General features: G+C 39.2%; 1 protein-coding gene across 9 annotated transcripts in view; it reads left to right on the top strand.

Annotated features, from left to right (window-relative positions):
• Nucleotides 1–18,653, top strand: part of LPXN (leupaxin) — a 52,021-nt gene that overhangs the window by 31,910 nt on the left and 1,458 nt on the right. For 2 of the 9 annotated variants that reach the window (XM_017018579.3, XM_047427883.1), the window contains exon 8: nucleotides 16,458–18,409. The exons of 5 other annotated variants lie outside the window; for them this stretch is intronic. In XM_017018579.3, the coding sequence (XP_016874068.1) occupies nucleotides 16,458–16,552 (95 nt within the window). In that variant the 3' untranslated portion in view covers nucleotides 16,553–18,409. Of the gene's footprint in view, nucleotides 1–6,584; nucleotides 8,191–16,457; nucleotides 18,410–18,653 lie in introns of those variants that run through there. 2 more of the 9 variants (XM_011545393.4, XM_011545394.4) reach the window with 1 other exon arrangement.

Below are 18,653 nucleotides of genomic sequence, written 5' to 3'. Positions count from 1 at the left end.
TCATCTTTCTTGGTGGTGATGGGGCACTCATAGCACAGTTTTCTTCAAAGGAATCCTTCTCTCAGTTTTCCTTTTTCTTTACCTGTTTTCTCCTGAACAAGAGTGAGGAATTCCAGAATTGTACAAGTAATCTTTGACTACCTGTTTGGAGGGATGTTTTGCAGTTCAATTTGGAATTTGATATATATTACATCTTGGTGCCTTACATTTGTTTACACTGGTCTTTCCCAATACTGCTGATCCATGGTTGTCTGTTACTATTTAAGAATGAGACACTAAAATGCTAATTGCAAACTCCATGGATATAGACAGAAATTGTTGACTGGTAGACTTGACTATATGGTACTCAGGTAAGATACTCTGGCCATTTTGTTGAGTGACTCCTGAATATGACAATCTTAGGTCTTTTCTGTTGAGTCAATTATGCTAAAGAGATGTTCTCTTTGCCAGAATTCTGAGATTGAAAAAGGGGATGGGGGAATGGGCTTTTCACCATTCAGCATGTCAACTTTTACTTAATTCCCATTTTTCAGTAGAGAGCTTGACTCGTTTCCTCATGGTGTCCAACATCTCTGATCACTGAGACTCTCTTGTTCAATATTTACAGAAATAATCATTGCATCTTACGGTAAGATAAGGCATCTAACTTTCTAATGGTTCTTTAGACTTTCAACCAGTCCTGTTTCTAGCCTTGAAGAGTATCTCATGCATTCAGTTCCTGAGCCCCTCTGATGTTATCATATTCAAGATGGCTTGATTTTTATTGGCCTCTCCCATCTGTGGAGACGTAAGTTCCAGTTTTCTTATTTATGTTAAGCCAGGTACCACTCTTAAAATCTACTTTAAATTCTTGAAAATTTAGTTAATATCTCATCTGGTGGCATATCCTTTACTTTTTTCTCTTTCCTTATGGCTCTTTATAATTTACATAATTTCTTAACTGTCATGTTAATGATGTTTCAGGAGGGAGTAAAGAAAATCCCATGTGTTTAGGCCCTTTTACTAATATGGAGACTTTCCTAAATATCAGGCATATTATTATGTATATGGTTAAAAATAATTTATATGATGCCATCACAGTCTGTGAGAGCAAGTTTATTCAACATTTTACCTAGTTATAGATGAGTCTCAGGTAGGTAAAGTGATTTTCTTAAAGTCACACAGTTAGAAAGTTGAAGAGGCAAGATTTCAACTTGGGTATCATTTCTGCAAGTTCCATGTTTTTTATAAAACATCACAACTGCCTTTTGACTGAAATTCAATTCCTCTTCGGCTGTTGGATCTCTTTACTTTTGTGGTACCAACACGATATGCTTTATTTGACAATAGACCCAGATACAGTGGTGCTGACAGAATCCACTAGCAAAGTGCTCTGTAGTAATTTGCTTGTTCACTGGAGCTTGCTCAATGCTTTTTCACAAATCATTAGGTATTTCATTTCTAGATGGTATTTTACCTAAGCAGCATTTTTCATTGACACTTAATCCAAATCATCTTAAATTGTGTCACAATAAATTTATATTGTACTGGTAGCCATAAAAGTCTGAGAATTAGTTGAGTACAACAGTCAACAAGTGAATACTGCCTATGGATCATTATGATGGAGAAGTTGCCTGAAAGCAGAACAACAGGACATAGGCACATTTCAGGTAGAGACATAAGTTAGATACACACACAAAAAAATACCCAATCCATAGGATGACCAGAAAGCACCATTAAGGTAGCTAGTTCTCATTTTCTTGACTCAGGCCCCTTCTAAACAGACAGGGCTGATGGGGTCATTTATGGCTTTATATAAACAGGAAACAACACTTAAAACATATTTATACATAGAGCCACATGACAAAAAGTGACATTTATTGATCAGAAGCTCCACTTGGGTTGTATTTTCCTTTTTATGCCTGGCTTTCTGTAAAAAGGTCTCCTGCCATATGATCAGTTCATTAATTAGGTGTCATCCTGCCTCACCCCAAGTTAGATAGTCACAAAGAGTTTCTATAATGACAGTTTAACCTCTGAGCCTCCTGGGAAATTAAATTCATCTGCATTTTTTCATCAGTCCAAAGAATTCCTCTTTAAGGCTCAAGTCATTGGTCCTTGGCATCCTCCCACAGGGATGAGCTCTTCAATGTCTACCTGTGTTTCTTTTTAATTGTTCATTATCCAGGTCATGCAGGTGCTCCCTAATTTCCCCTGTGGCTAAGAGCCTCACCAGAGTATAAACACTCTCCCTCTTTTTGTGGCACTTTTAATTGTCAGTATTTCTCATTCTTCCTCTAGAGGTAATTGGTCCCAAAGAGATCCTCCAAGAAAGCAAGAGCTGAAACTTTCTTAATTTATTAGATTATGAAATGCAGGGGTATCACAGCAAGTTTGGGTGATTGCTTTTGATTTCTTTCCTGAGATTTACCCAAGTTGAAACAGAGGCTGTTACTCCCCTGCTATCCCACTCTCGAAACCAGCTGTCCAGCAGATGCCTAGATGAGGGTCATTTCTCAGATAGTTGGCATGTCTTACAGTTTTCTCAAGTAATGCCTACCTATAGGCAAGCTCAGTTTTGTGTCATTTGCTTTATGCAGCATCAGCATCACCTGGGGACTTGTTAGAAATGCAAAATCTTGGGCCCCATCCCAGACCCATTGAATCAAAAACTCAGGGTGGAAGACCCAGCAATCTGCATTTTATCAAGTTCCCAGATGAATAATGCACACTAAAGTTTGAGAAACACTATTATGCTACACAAAATTGAGACAGGTGGTTGCAGGTATTTGTTTTTCTTAAATAGTAGGACTTACGGTATTCAGTTTCCCTTGAATAGACCCTAGACATCATTTGACAGAGTAAATAAAAAGTAAAGTGAGCTCTTCTGTGTCTCAGGGGTTTAGAGGAAGAACACAGGACAGCATATAAAATTACTAGTTTAGATTCAGATCTGTAGGCCTCAAAATTCTGCTAAATTGTCTGCTTTTTAAAGAAAGCAAAGTTGAACAAAGCAAGGCATGTGAAAAAGTGATGAGGTAATGGAAAAACTGCAGCTATATGGTTTGGTTCCCAACACCTAGCTGCTTCTATTGTCATGTTGTGATCTGGCTGCTATTATCAAAGCTGATTTCTAGAAATAGTGTTTTCTAGATAGTCTGCTTTACAGAACACTGTGCATGCTTTGCTTACATGCTGTCTTAGTGGGGAAGAGGTAGAACTCTCATATTTACAAAATTATTGGGCTATTTGTGCTCAGCTGATACTGTCAGTTCCCACAGAGATGTCAAAGTCAGGATGCATTTAAGTTAGAGGTATAACATTGAAGTTAGGCTTTGAAGTTAGGCCTAGATTTCAATCTCAGCTCCTCTACTGACTAGTCAGGTGTAAATTCTCTAAGCTGTCTTTTTGCATTTGTTAAATGAGGCTAAAGCCTACTTCAGAAGTTTGCTCTGAAAAAATCTCATTTTAATTTAGTACTGTAGACAGAGCCTTCAGTGGAACCAGTACAATGCAGATGATCCATAAATGGGATTGCTGATAATATAGTCTTCATTTTAGGTGTCTCTCTAAGTAAATACTAAGGAGGGATTCTTACGTAAAAGTTAATCTATTTATGCATATTCTAGTCAATGCTGAAGTGAGACTCTAAATTGCAATATACTCGGGAGCAGATGATCTCAATTTTGCTATTGTAATATTTTTCTTATGTCAGCTCATTCAATAGATATTTATTGAGCAACTACTATATATGTGTCAAGCATTATTCAAAGTACTAGGGATATAGTGACAAAAAGGAAAGTTCTTGCCCTCATGATTAATGTATTCTGGTGGAGGAGACAAACAGTAATCAAACTAGCCAACTAACTACGACCTACTCTGCATGGCGAGAGAGAGAGTGATTAGGTAGTATTTGAGACACAGTGGTTGAGTCACTTGTTCTCTTAAGCAGACCCCTGAGGTAAGCAAAGGACTAAGCCATTTGGGTATCTCAGGGAAGTGAGTTTCAAAACAGAGCAAATATATCACTTGAATAAGTGCTTAAGGATTAATTAGTTAATTTTGTTGTAAGTGTAAAGACAATAAAAAGACCTTGCAGAAACGTTTGTTTTTAACTTATTACCCTATTAACCTAAAGCAATACAGAAAACTTTTCCTACCAATGTTTTTCTACATTTATTCATGTATGTGTGCACACATAAGTTATTGTGTGCCTAAAATTCTTTTTTTATACTTAAGCATTTCTCCATGTTGTTTCATCATAATTTCATAATAGTTTTATAATAATTTTAACATTATCAATTATTCCATTAGGGATTTATGTAAATAAACAAAAAATAAAATGCTATATGCCTAAAGATTTTCACTGAAGCATTATTATAGTTCCAAACATTGGAAACAACTAAATGTATTAACAATAGTATCATATTTAGATTACTTCTGGTGTTTAGTAGTACTATAATAAATATCATTAAACATAATGTTTTCTTCTTCTGAATTATTTGTATTAATTAATTCCTAGGACTTAGATGTCTACATCTTTTTTAAAAAAAACCTTGATGTAGATTATCAAGTGACTCTCCAAAAGAATAATACAGTTAATATTATTACCAGGAATATATGAATATATGGATCATTCCATATATCTTCCAGTATTGAGTATATTTATTTAACACTGTTTTTACTACTTAGCTAAAATTAGAAATTCAACTACTAATTAGCAAAAATTACAACTTCATTGTTTTCTTTTGAGTTTCCTGACTTATAATGTCCAACATATTATTATTTTTTTTCTTTTCTATTTTTATTATTATTATACTTTAAGTTTTAGGGTACATGTGCACAATGTGCAGGTTAGTTACATATGTATACATGTGCCATGCTGGTGTGCTGCACCCATTAACTCGTCATTTAGCATTAGGTATATCTCCTAATGCTATCCCTCCCCACTCCCCCCACCCCACAACAGTCCTCAGAGTGTGACGTTCCCCTTCCTGTGTCCATGTGTTCTCATTGTTCAATTCCCATCTATGAGTGAGAACATGCGGTGTTTGGTTTTTTGTCCTTGAGATAGTTTACTGAGAATGATGATTTCCAATTTCATCCATGTCCCTACAAAGGACATGAACTCACCATTTTTTATGGCTGCACAGTATTTCATGGTGTATTTGTGCCACATTTTCTTAATCCAGTCTATCATTGTTGGACATTTGGGTTGGTTCCAAGTCTTTGCTATTGTGAATAATGCCAGAATAAACATACGTGTGCATGTGTCTTTATAGCAGCATGATTTGTAGTCCTTTGGGTATATACCTAGTAATGGGATGGCTGGGTCAAATGGTATTTCTAGTTCTAGATCCCTGAGGAATCGCCACACTGACTTCCACAATGGTTGAACTAGTTTACAGTCCCACCAACAGTGTAAAAGTGTTCCTATTTCTCCACATCCTCTCCAGCACCTGTTGTTTCCTGACTTTTTAATGATTGCCATTCTAACTGGTGTGAGATGGTATCTCATTGTGGTTTTGATTTGCATTTCTCTGATGGCCAGTGATGATGAGCATTTTTCCATGTGTCTTTTGCCTGCATAAATGTCTTCTTTTGAGAAGTGTCTGTTCATATCCTTTGCCCACTTTTTGATGGGGTTGTTTGTTTTTTTGTTGTAAATTTGTTTGAGTTCATTGTAGATTCTGGATATTAGCCCTTTGTCACATGAGTAGGTTGTGAAAATTTTCTCCCATTTTGTAAGTTGCCTGTTCACTCTGATGGTAGTTTCTTTTGCTGTGCAGAAGCTCCTTAGTTTAATTAGATCCCATTTGTCTATTTTGGCTTTTGTTGCCATTGCTTTTTTTGTTTTAGACATGAAGTCCTTGCCCATGCCTGTGTCCTGAATGGTAATGCCTAGGTTTTCTTCTAGGGTTTTTATGGTTTTAGGTCTAACATGTAAGTCTTTAATCCATCTTGAATTAATTTTTGTATAAGGTGTAAGGAAGGGATCCAGTTTCAGCTTTTTACATATGACTAGCCAGTTTTCCCAGCACCATTTATTAAATGGGGAATCCTTCCCCATTGCTTGTTTTTGTCAGGTTTGTCAAAGATCAGATAGTTGAAAAGTATTTATTTTGCGGCTATTCATTGATTTGTGAGGTGCACTTGTTTTAAAAGGTTTTAAAAAGCAATCACCGTGAGTTTCTCATTCTCAGTGTAGCTCCATTACCTGGACATGGGATCAGTAAGACTCAAGCCAAGAATTTTCTAATATGTGTCTTAACAGTGAAAATTTCATGTATTAAAGAGAAAGTTCTTATACCTCAACAAATTGCTTTTTAAATGTTTTTATTATAGTACAGTCTAAACATAAATGTGCTTCCTTACCTAGCTTCAGTAAGTATAAGTGTTTTGCCAAATGGATTCCTCTATTAACCTTCACCCATCCATCCACATTTTTTCTTGCTGGAATATTAAGAAGCAAGTTTAGAAGTCATGTAATCTCATCATTAAATACTTCGGCATGCATCACTTTTAGCTGAGAAGGTCTTTTTAAAAACTACCTTTATGCTTAACAAATTAAGAATTTCTTATTATCATTTACAATTCCTATTCAGATTTCTAAGAAAATATCACAGGCTTGGTTTGCTTGAATCAGGATCTCAGCAAGGTCAGTGCATTGCATTTTGCTGTTTTGTCTCTCAAATTTAAAAAATTCTATTATTAGTCCTCTCTTTGCTGCTTTTTTATACTATTTATTTGTTAATGAATCCAGAACCTATATCCCATAAAATATCCCATATTCTTTATTTGACTGGCTGCTTTCTCATGATACTGTTTTTTGCTTTACTCCTGCCCCCATTTCCTATATTTTCCTTAAACTATTAGTTTAGACCTAGAGATGACTAGGTTTAGGTTCAGTTTTCGGGGGTCTGGATGACAAGAATAGGTTTCAGGTGGTGGGTGCAGTATACTTCTTGTTGAATCACATCAAGAGGTGTATAATGACTGGTTGACCACTTTTATTGATACTAACATTGACCACTAAATTTAAGCAGTGTCATCCCGATCCCTCTATTTTAAAGTTCCCCATTAATGACAATTACCTAAATCCAATGGAATAGGTAGTAAAATGCTGAGTTTTCTATTATTCCTTCCATATTTATTAGCTGAGTTCTACAAAAACTTTCTATCATCAGTTATTGGGTTATCTTGGAATATATCTCATACAGGAAAGGTGAGATAAGTGTTTGACACTTTCTATTAATAAGAGTAATGAATTAATTATAAGGGTAATGAATGGGTTCATTAACAATATCCAGTGGAGACTAATAAATTTTTATTTTTAAAAAATCATTATGAACTCATGGAGTTATATATACTTGGTATAATTTGATCTATTGAATTAGTATTTTTTAATGCTCAAATTTTTTTATCTGAGGTCAGAGGTAGCCCCTTCAATTTGGTTACTGTATCTTTCTGATATGATCCCAGTAATCTTCCTATTTCCTTGGCACAGCAAGATATATCAGGCCTAACTTGTCAACTCTGCCACATACTTGGAATCATCCATTTCTCCAAAAAGACTGCTTCATTGAGGATATTTAAAAATTAGCAGTGTTCATTATTTCTGGGATGTCATTTCTTCTAGGTTTTTCAGTGGACAGAGCTTCAGATCTACTTTTTAAGGTTTTTAAATTTTATAGAGACAGGATCTCATGCTGTCTCCCAGGCTAGAGTTCAGAGGTGCTATCATAGCTTGCTACAGCCTTGAACTCCTGGACTCAAGCGATTCTCCCACATCAGCCTTCTGAGTAGCTGGCACTACAGATGTGTACCACCAGGTCTGGCTAATTTTTTAAAATTTTTTGTAGAGAGTGGGTCTCACTACATTGCCCAGGGCTTGTCTCGAACTCCAGGCTTCAACCAGTCCTCCCGCCTCAGCCTCTCAAAGTTCTGGGATTACAGGCAGGAGCCACTGCGCCCTGATAGAATCTGTCATTGTTGTTGTTTTTTTTAAAGAAAAGTAAGTCATGAGTTCATACTAATATATCTGATATAGTATAATGATACAGTTTTTTGTTTGATTTGTTTGATTATTTGTGTCTTTTTTAATGCTGGAAATCTTGCTTTCCAAAGGCATTAATATAATTATTTGCTTTATTATGTAATCTACCTGTAATAAGTTCAAAAAATATATAAATATTGTAAATGAACAAATTATTTTTATTGTGTATATATATTGTATTATTTTATTGTATATTTTAAGGTACACAACATGATATTTTGATATACACAGTGAAATATTTATTACAGTTAGGCAAATTAACATATCCGTCCTCACTCACAGTAACCCTTTTCATGTGTATATGGTAAGAGCATCAGAATCTACTCACAGCAAATTTCCAGTATATATAAAAACAGTTTAAGACACTTCTCAAAAGAAGACATTTATGCAGCCAAAAAACACATGAAAAAATGCTCACCATCACTGGCCATCAGAGAAATGCAAATCAAAACCACAATGAGATACCATCTCACACCAGTTAGAATGGCAATCATTAAAAAGTCAGGAAACAACAGGTGCTGGAGAGGATGTGGAGAAATAGGAACACTTTTACACTGTTGGTGGGACTGTAAACTAGTTCAACCATTGTGGAAGTCAGTGTGGCGATTCCTCAGGGATCTAGAACTAGAAATACCATTTGGCCCAGCCACCCCATTACTGGGTATATACCCAAAGGACTATAAATCATGCTGCTATAAAGACACATGCACACGTATGTTTATGGCGGCACTATTCACAATAGCAAAGACTTGGAACCAACCCAAATGTCCATCAGTGATAGACTGGATTAAGAAAATGTGGCACATATACACCATGGAATACTGTGCAGCCATAAAAAATGATGAGTTCATGTCCTTTGTAGGGACATGGATGAAATTGGAAATCATCATTCTCAGTAAACTATCGCAAGGACAAAAAACCAAACGCCACATGTTCTCACTCATAGGTGGGAATTGAACAGTGAGAACACATGGACACAGGAAGAGGAACATCACACTCTGGGGACTGTTGTGGGGTGGGGGGAGGGGGGAGGGATAGCTTTAGGAGATATACCTAATGCTAAATGACGAGTTAATGGGTGCAGCACACCAGCATGGCACATGTATACATATGTAACTAACGTGCACATTGTGCACATGTACCCTAAAACTTAAAGTATAATAATAATAAAATAAAATAAAATATTTCTTTGTAGCTTGTTTTGTCTTTAGATTGCATCATTAGGACTGTACACTCTGAACACTATCATTTAAAGTTACTTGAATGAACTATTTCGTTTTTATTATTATTATACTTTAAGTTCTGGTGTACATGTGCAGAATGTGCAGGTTTGTTACATAGGTATACACGTGCCATGGTGGTTTGCTGCACCCATCAACCCATCATCTACATTAGGTATTTCTCCTAATGCTATCCCTCCCCTAGTCCCCTGCCTCCATCAGGCCCCAGTGTGTGATGTTCCCCTCCCTGTGGCCATGTGTTCTCATTGTTCAACTCCCACTTATGAGTGAGAACATGCGGTGTTTGGTTTTCTGTTCCTGTGTTAGTTTGCTGAGAATGATGGTTTCCAGCTTCATCCATGTCCCTGCAAAGGACATGAACTCATTCTTTTTTATGGCTGTATTTTATTCCATGGTGTATATGTGCCACATTTTCTTTATCCAGACTATCATTGATGGGCATTTGGGTTGGTTCCAAGTCTTTGCTTTTGTGAATAGTACTGCAATAAGCATATGTGTGCATGTGTCTTTATGGTAGAATGATTTATAATGCTTTGGGTATATACCCAGTAATGGGATTGCTGAGTCAAATGGTATTCCTGGTTCTAGATCCTTGAGGAATCACCACATAGTCTTCCACAATGGTTGAACTAATTTACACTCCCACCAACAGTGTAAAAGCATTCCTATTTCTCCATATCCTCTCCAGCATCTGTTGTTTCCTGACTTTTTAATGATCGCCTTTCTAACTGGCGTGAGATGGTATCTCATTATGGTTTTGATTTGCATTTCTCTAATGACCAGTGATGATGAGCTTTTTTTTTTCATATGTTTATTGGCTACATAAATGTCTTCTTTTGAGAAGTGTGTGTTCATATCCTTCAGTCACTTTTTGATGGGGTTGTTTTTTTTTCTTGTAAATTTGTTTAAGTTCTTTGTAGATTCTAGATATTAGCCCTTTGTCAGATGGATAGATTGCAAAAATTTTCTCCAATTTTGTAGATTGCCTGTTCACTCTGATGATAGTTTATTTTGCTGTGCAGAAGCTCTTTAATTTAATTAGATCCCATTTGTCTATTTTGGCTTTTGTAGCCATTGCTTTTGGTGTTTTAGTCATGAAGTCTTTGTCTATGCCTGTGTCCTGAATGGTATTGCCTAGGTTTTCTTCTAGGAATTTTATGGTTTTAGGTCTTACGTTTAAATCTTTAATCCATGTTGAGTTAATTTTTGTATAAGGTGTAAGGAAGGGGTCCAGTTTCAGTTTTCTGCATATGGCTAGCCAGTTTTCCCAACACCATTTATTAAATAGGGAATCCTTTCCCTGTTGCTTGTTTTTGTCAAGTTTGTCAAAGATCAGATGGTTGTAGATGTGTGGTGTTATTTCTGAGGCCTTTGTTCTGTCCATTGATCTATATATCTGTTTTGGTACCAGTACCATGCTGTTTTTGTTACTGTAGCCTTGTAGTATAGTTTGAAGTCAGGTAGCATGATGCCTCCAGCTTTGTTCTTTTTGCTTAGGATTGTCTTGGCTATGCAGGCTCTATTTTGGTTCCATATGAAATTTAAAGTAGTTTTTTCTAATTCTATGAAGAAAGTCAATGGTAGCTTGATGGGGATAGCATTGAATGCATAAATTACTTTGGGCAGTATGGCCATTTTCACGATATTGGTTCTTCCTATCCAGAAGCATGGAATATTTTTCCATTTGATTGTGTCCTGTTTTATTTCCTTGAACAGTGGTTTGTAGTTCTCCTTGAATAGGTCCTTCACATCCCTTGTAAGTTGTATTCCAAGGTATTTAATTCTGTATAGCAATTGTGAATGAGTTTCACTCATGATTTCGCTGTCTATTATTGGCGTATAGGAATGCTTGTGATTTTTGCGCATTGATTTTGTGTCCTGAGACTTTGCTGAAGTTGCTTATCAGCTTTAGGAGATTTTGGGTTGAGATGATGGGGTTTTCTAAATATACAATCATGTCATCTGCAAACAGAGACAATTTGACTTCCTCTTTTCCTATGTGAGTACCCTTTATTTCTTTCTGTTGCCTGATTGCCCTAGCGAGAACTTCCAACACTATGTTGAATATGAGTGGTGAGAGACGGCATCCCTGTCTTGTGCCAGTTTTCAAAGGGAATGCTTCCAGGTTTTGCCCATTCAATATGATATTGGCTGTGGGTTTGTCATAGATAGCTCTTATTATTTTGAGATACATTCCATCAATACCTAGTTTATTAAGAGATTTTATCATGAAGGGGTGTTAAATTTTATCAAAGGCCTTTTCTGTATCTATTGAGATAATCATGGTTTTTGTCATTGTTTCTGTTTATGAGATGGATTATGTTTATTGATTTGTGTATGTTGAACCAGCCTTGCGTCCCAGGTATGAAGCTGACTTGATCGTGGCGGATAAGCTTTTTGATATGCTGCTGGATTCAGTTTGCCAATATTTTATCGAGGATTTTCACATTGATGTTCATCAGGGATATTGGCCTGAAGTTTTCTTTTTTTGTTGTGTCTCTGCCGTGTTTTGGTATTAGCATGATGCTGGCCTCATAAAAATGAGTTAGGGAGGATTCCCCCTTTTTCTATTGTTTGGAATAATTTCAGAGGCAATGGTATCAGCTCCTTTTTGTACCTCTGGTAGAATTCTGCTGTGAATCCACCTGGTCCCGGACTTTTTTTTGGTCGGTAGGCTATTAATTACTGCCTCAATTTCAGAACTTGTTGTTGGTCTATCCAGGGATCTGACTTCTTCCTGGTCTAGACTTGGGAGAGTGTAGTGTCCAGGAATTTATCCATTTCTTCTAGATTTTCTAGTTTATTTGTATAGAGGTGTTTACAGTATTCTCTGATTGTAGTTTGTATTTCTGTGGGATCAGTAGTGATAACCCCTTTATCATTTTTTTGTGTCTATTTGATTCTTCTCTCTTTTTTTCTTTATTAGTGTGGCTAGTAGTCTATCTATTTTGTTGATCATTTCAAAAAACCACCTCCGGGATTCATTGATTGTTTGAAGGGTTTTTCATTCTCTATCTCCTTCAGTTCTGCTCTGATCTTAGTTATTTCTTGTCTCCTGATAGCTTTTTAATTTGTTTGCTCTTGCTTCTCTAGTTCTTTTAATGTGATTTTAGGGTGTCGATTTTAGATCTTTCCTGCTTTCTCTTGTGGGCATTTAGTGCTATAAATTTCCCTCTACACACTGCTTTAAATGTGTCCCAGAGATTCTGGTACTTTGTGTCTTTGTTTTCATTGGCTTCAAATAACTTCTTTCTTTCTGCCTTAATTTTTTTATTTACCCAGTAGTCGTTCAGGAGCAGGTTTTCAGTTTCCATGTAGTTGTGCGGTTTTGAGAGAGTTTCTTACTCCTGAGTTCTAATTTGATTGCACTGTGGTCTGAGAGACTGTTTGCTATGATTTCTGTTCTTTTGCATTTGCTGAGGCGTGTTTTACTTACAATTACATAGTCGATTTTAGAATAAATATGATGTGGTGCTGACAAGAATGTATATTCTGTTGATTTCGGGTGGAGAGTTGTATAGATGTCTATCAGGTCTGCTTGGCCAAGAGCTGAGTTCAAGTCCTGAATATCCTTGTTAATTTTCTGTCTCATTGATCTGTCTAATATTGACAGTGGGGTGTTAAAGTCTCCCACTATTATTGTGTGGAAGTCTAAGAGTCTTTGTAGGTCTCTAAGAACTTGCTTTATGAATCTGGGTGCTCCTGTATTGGGTGCATATATAATTAGGATAGTTAGTTCTTCCTGTTGCATTAATCCCTTTACCATTATGTAATGCCCATCTTTGTCTCTTTTGATCTTTGTTGGTTTAAAGTCTTTTTTATCAGAGACTAGAATTGCAACCCCTGCTTTTTTTTTTCTTTCCGTTTACTTGGTAAATATTCCTTCATCCCTTTATTTTGAGCCTATGTGTGTCTTTGCATGTGAGATGGGTCTCCTGAATACAGCACACCAATGAGTCTTGCCTCTTTATCCAATTTGCCAGTCTGTGTGTCTTAATTGGGACATTTAGTCCATTTACATTTAAGGTTAATCTTGTTATGTGTGAATTTGATCTGGTAATTATGATGCTAGCTGGTTATTTTGAAGAACTGTTATGAACAGTTTCTTCATAGCATCTATGGTCTTTACAATTTGGTATGTTTTTGCAGTGACTGGTACCAGTTATTCCTTTCTGTGTTTAGTGCTTCCTTCAGGAGCTCTTGTAAGGCAGGCCTGGTGGTAGTAAAGTCTCTCAGCATTTGCTTGTCTGTAAATAATTTTATTTCTCTTTTGTTTACGAAGCTTAGTTTGGCTGGATATGAAATTCTGGGTTGAAAATGCTTTTAAGAATGTTGAATATTGGCCCCCACTCTCTTCTGGCTTGTACAGTTTCTGCCAAGAGATCCGCTGTTAGTCTGATGGGCTTCCCTTTGTGGGTTACCCAACCTTTCTCTTTGGCTGCACTTAACATTTTTTCCTTCATTTTGTGTCCGAAATTGGTGGGTTCTTGGTCTCACTGACTTCAAGAATGAAGCCGCGGACCCTTGCGGTGAGTGTTACAGTTCTTAAAGATGGTGTGTCCGGAGTTTGTTCCTTCTGATGTTCAGACATGTTCGGAGTTTCTTCTTTCTGATGGGTTTGTGGTTTCGCTGGCTTCAGGAGTGAAGCTGCAGACCTTCACGGTGAGTGTTACAGCTCTTAAGGCGGTGCGTCTGGAGTTGCTCATTCCTCCCATCTGGAGTTGTTCATTCCTCCTGGTGGATTCGTGGTCTCGCTGGCCTCAGGAGTGAAGCTGCAGACCTTCGCGGTGAGTGTTACAGCTCATAAAGGCAGTGCGGACCCAAAGAGTGAGCAGCAGCAAGATTTATTGCAAAGAGTGAAAGAACAAAACTTCTACAGTGTGGAAGGGGACCCAAGTGGGTTGCCACTGCTGGCTCGGGCAGCCTGCTTTTATTCCCTTATCTGGCCCCACCCACATCTTGCTAATTGGTGCATTTTACAGAGAGCTGATTGGTCCATTTTACAGAGAGCTGTTTGGTCTGTCTTGACAGGGTGCTGACTGGTGCATTTACAATCCCTGAGCTAGACACAGAGTGCTGATTGGTGCATTTACAATCCTCTAGCTAGACACAAAAGTTCTCCAAGTCCCCACTAGATTAGCTAGACACAGAGCACTGATTGGTGCATTTACAAACCTTTAGCTAGACACAGAGTGCTGATGGGTGCATTTACAATCCCTGAGCCAGACACAGAGTGCTGATTGGTGCATTTACAATCCTCTAGCTAGACATAAAAGTTATCCAAGTCCCCACCTGACTCAGGAGCCCAGCTGGCTTCGCCTAGTGGATCCCATGCCAGGGCTGCGGGCGGAGCTGCCCTCCAGTCTCGTGCCGTGCGCCCACACTCCTCAGCCCTTGGGCGGTCGATGGGACTGGGCGCCTCGGAGCAGGGGGCAGCACCTGTCGGGGAGGCTTGGGCTGCATGGGAGCCCACTGTGGGGGTCTCGGGCATGGCGGGCTGCAGATCCCAAGCCCTGCGCCACAGGGAGGCAGCTGAGGCCTGGCAAGAATTCGAGCATGACACAGGTGGGCCAGCAGTGCTAGGGGACCCAGTGCACCCTCCGCAGCTGCTGTCTCAGTTGCTAATCCTCTCACTGCCTGGGGCTGGCGGTGCTGGCCGGCCACTCTGAGTGCGGGGCCTGCTGATCCCGTGCTACCCGAAACTCGTGCTGGCCCACGAGCACCGCATGCAGCCCCAGTTCCTGCCCGTGCCTCTCCGTCCACACCTCCCCGCAGGCAGAGGGAGCTGGCTCCAGCCTCAGCCAGCCCAGAGTGGGGCTCCCACAGTGCAGCGGCAGGCTGAAGGGCTCCTCAAGCGTGGCCAGAGTGGATGCCGAGGCCAAGGACGTGCCAAGAGCGAGCAAGGGTTGCAAGCACATTGTCACCTCAATTTCAACCTTGGTGAATCTGATGATTATGTGTCTTGGGGTTGCTCTTCTTGAGGAGTATCTTTGTGGTGTTCTCTGTATTTCCTGAATTTGAATGTTGGCCTGTCTTGCTAGGTTGAGGAAGTTCTCCTGGATAATATCCTGAAGAGTGTTTTTCAGCTTGGTTCCATTCTCCCCATAACTTTCAGGTACACCAGTCAAACGTAGATTTGTTTTTTTCACATAGTCCCATATTTCTTGGAGGCTTTATTCATTCCTTTTCATTCTTTTTTCTCTAATCTTGTCCTCTTGCTTTATTTCATTAAGTTGACCTTCAATCTCTTATATCCTTTCTTCTGCTTGATCAATTCAGCTATTGATACTTGTGTATGCTTCACAAAGTTCTTGTGCTATATTTTTCAGCTCCATCAGGTCATGTATGTTCTTCTCTAAACTGGTTATTCTAGTTAGCAATTTGTCTAACCTGTTTTCAAGGTTCTTAGCTTCCTTGCATTGGGTTAGAACATGCTCCTTTATAAAGCTCGGAGGAGTTTGTTATTACCCACCTTCTGAAGCCTACTTCTATCAGTTCGTCAGACTCATTCTTCATCCAGTTTTGTTCCCTTGGTGTTGAGGAGTTGTGATCCTTTGGAGAAGAGGCATTCTGGTTTTTGGGATTTTCACCCTTTTTGCATTGGTTTCTCCCCATCTTCTTGAGTGTTTCTACGTTTGGTCTTTGAAGTTGGTGACCTTCAGATGGAGTGTCTGAGTGGATGTCCTTTCTGTTGATGTTGATGCTATTCCTTTCTGTTTGTTAGTTTTCCTTCTAACAGTCAGGCTCCTCTGCTACAAGTCCACGGGAGTTTGCTGGAGGTCGACTCCAGACCCTGTTTGCCTGGGTATTAGCAGCAGAGGCTGCAGAACAGCAAAGATTGCTGCCTGTTCCTTCCTTTGGAAGCTTCATCCCAGCAGGGCACCCACCAGATGCCAGCCAGAGCTCTCCTGTATGAGGTGTCAGTTAGCCCCTATTGGGAGGTGTCTCCCAATCAGGAGACACGGGGGCCACAGACCCACTCAAGGAGGCAGTCTGACCCTTAGCAGAGCTCGAACCCTGTGCTGGGAGATCCACTGCTCTCTTCAGAGCTGTCAGGCAGGGATGTTTAAGTCTACTGAAGCTGTGCCCACAGCCACCCCTTCCCCTGGGTGCTCTGTCCCAGGGAGATGGGGGTTTTATCTATAAGCCCCTGACTGGAGCTGCTGCCTTTTTCTTTTCAGAGATGGCCTGCCCAGAAAAGAGGAATCTAGAGAGGCAGTCTAGCCACAGCAGCCTTGCTGAGCTGCGGTTGGCTCCACCCAGTTTGATCTTCTGAGTGGCTTTGTTTACACTGTGAAGGTAAAACCACCTGCTCAAGCCTCAGCAATGGTGGATGCTTCTCCCTCCACCAAATTCTAGTATCCCAGGTCGAGCTCAGACTGCTGTGCTGGCAGTAAGAATTTCAAGCCAGTGGATCTTAGCTTGCTGGGCTCCATGGGGGTGGGACCTACCGAGCCAGGCCACTTGGCTCCCTGGCTTAAGCCCCCTTTCCAGGGGAGTGAACAGTTCTGTCTCGCTGGCATTCCAGGTGCATCTAGGTTATGAAAAACAAAAAACAAAAAAACTTCTAAAGCTAGCTCAGTGTTTGCCCATACAGCCGCCCAGTTTTGTGCTTGAAACCCAGGGCCCTGGTGGCGTAGGCACAAGAGGGAATCTCCAGGTCTGCGGTTTGTGAAGACTATGGGAAAAGCACAGTATCTGGGCCGGAGTGCACTGTTCCTCACGGCACAGTTTCTAATGGCTTCTCTTTGTTAGGAGAGGGAGTTCCCTGACCCCTTGTGCTTTCTGGGTGAGGCAACACCCCACCCTTTTTCGGCTTGCCCTCAATGGGCTGCACCCACTGTCCGATCAGTCTCAATGAGATGAACCGGTTACCTCAGTTGGAAATGCAGAAATCACCTGCCTTCTGCATCGATCTCACTGGAAGCTGCAGACCTGAGCTGTTCCTATTCGGTCATCCTGCCAGCAATCTCCAAATTATTTATTTTATTGCTCATGTCATCAGTTTGATATACAGTTAATTTTCTTCAATTTGATTCAATTTTTTAGGGATTCATGTTTTTCCATTTTAATTTTTTTACTTTTTTTTTTTTTTTTTGAGACAGAGTCTCACTATCTCCCAGGCTGGAGTGCAGTGGTGCGATCTCGGCTCACTGCAAGCTCTGCCTCCCGGGTTTACGCCATTCTCCTGCCTCAGCCTCCCAAGTAGCTGGGACTACAGGCGCTCGCCACCACACCTGGCTAATTTTTTGTATTTTTAGTAGAGACGGGGTTTCACCGTGTTAGCCAGGATGGTCTCGATCTCCTGACCTCGTGATCCACCCGCCTCGGCCTCCCAAAGTGCTGGGATTACAGGTGCAAGCCACCGTGCCCGGCCAATTTTTTCACTTTTTAATTATGTACAACAATAGTTGAAACCATACATATACTCAGGAGTGGAATATAATTAGCAAATATTTTCTTCAGATTGTTATTTGTCTTTGTTTATGGTGATTTTTTGACATGTGTAAGTCATTCAGATATATTTTTATGTAGCTAAATTTATTAATATTTAACTTGCTTTTGGAATTTGGGCTTTATTTATGACAGTTTTTCTGTTTCCAGATTAAAGAGGAATACATCATTAATGACAAGATATGAAATGCAAATGCACACATTAAAAAAACCCTAAGTATCATTAGCCTTTCGGGAAATACAAATCAAAACTACCATGAGATAACATTGTATAGATAGATAACATCCATTTGATTGATTAAAAAGGAAATATATGGATATATCAAGTGATGTAAAGACTGAGGAATAATTGGGATTTTCATACACTGCTGGTAAACAATAAAAATAATATACCCACACAAAAAATAAAAAAAGGAGGAATACATCTATTTTTAATTCAAATATATGGTATGAGTCATTGTGTTTAGATCTTGCATCCATCTGGAAATTATTATTTAGTAGTATTTTATTTTAAAATATCAGATGCTTTTTTTCTTCCCAGATGCTGTTTTAGATATTAGAGATATAATGGTGACAAGATCAACAATATCTAGTTTCTCTCAGAGCTAATGTTCCTGTAAGGGGAGACAGCCCACAAAGATGATTTTAAATAAAGGTAAATGCCATAAAGACGGTGAAAGAAGATGATGTGACAAGGAGGGACTGAAGAGATGCCTCTCTGATAAGATGATATTTGAGTGATTCTTGCATCACATGAAGAGGACAACTATATCAGGCTCTGGGACAGAACTATCCAAGCCAAGGGAATACTTAGTACAAAGGCACTGAGGAGCAATAGCCCCTAACACTTATTAAATGTTTACTATGAACCAGACACAATGCCAAAACACTTCCTCTGCATTATCTCATTTATTTCTTACAAC

This window comes from Homo sapiens, chromosome 11 (assembly GCF_000001405.40).
Source record: "Homo sapiens chromosome 11, GRCh38.p14 Primary Assembly".
In the NCBI taxonomy this organism is placed as follows: domain Eukaryota; kingdom Metazoa; phylum Chordata; class Mammalia; order Primates; family Hominidae; genus Homo; species Homo sapiens.
This window is presented reverse-complemented; position numbering and strand designations above follow the sequence as displayed.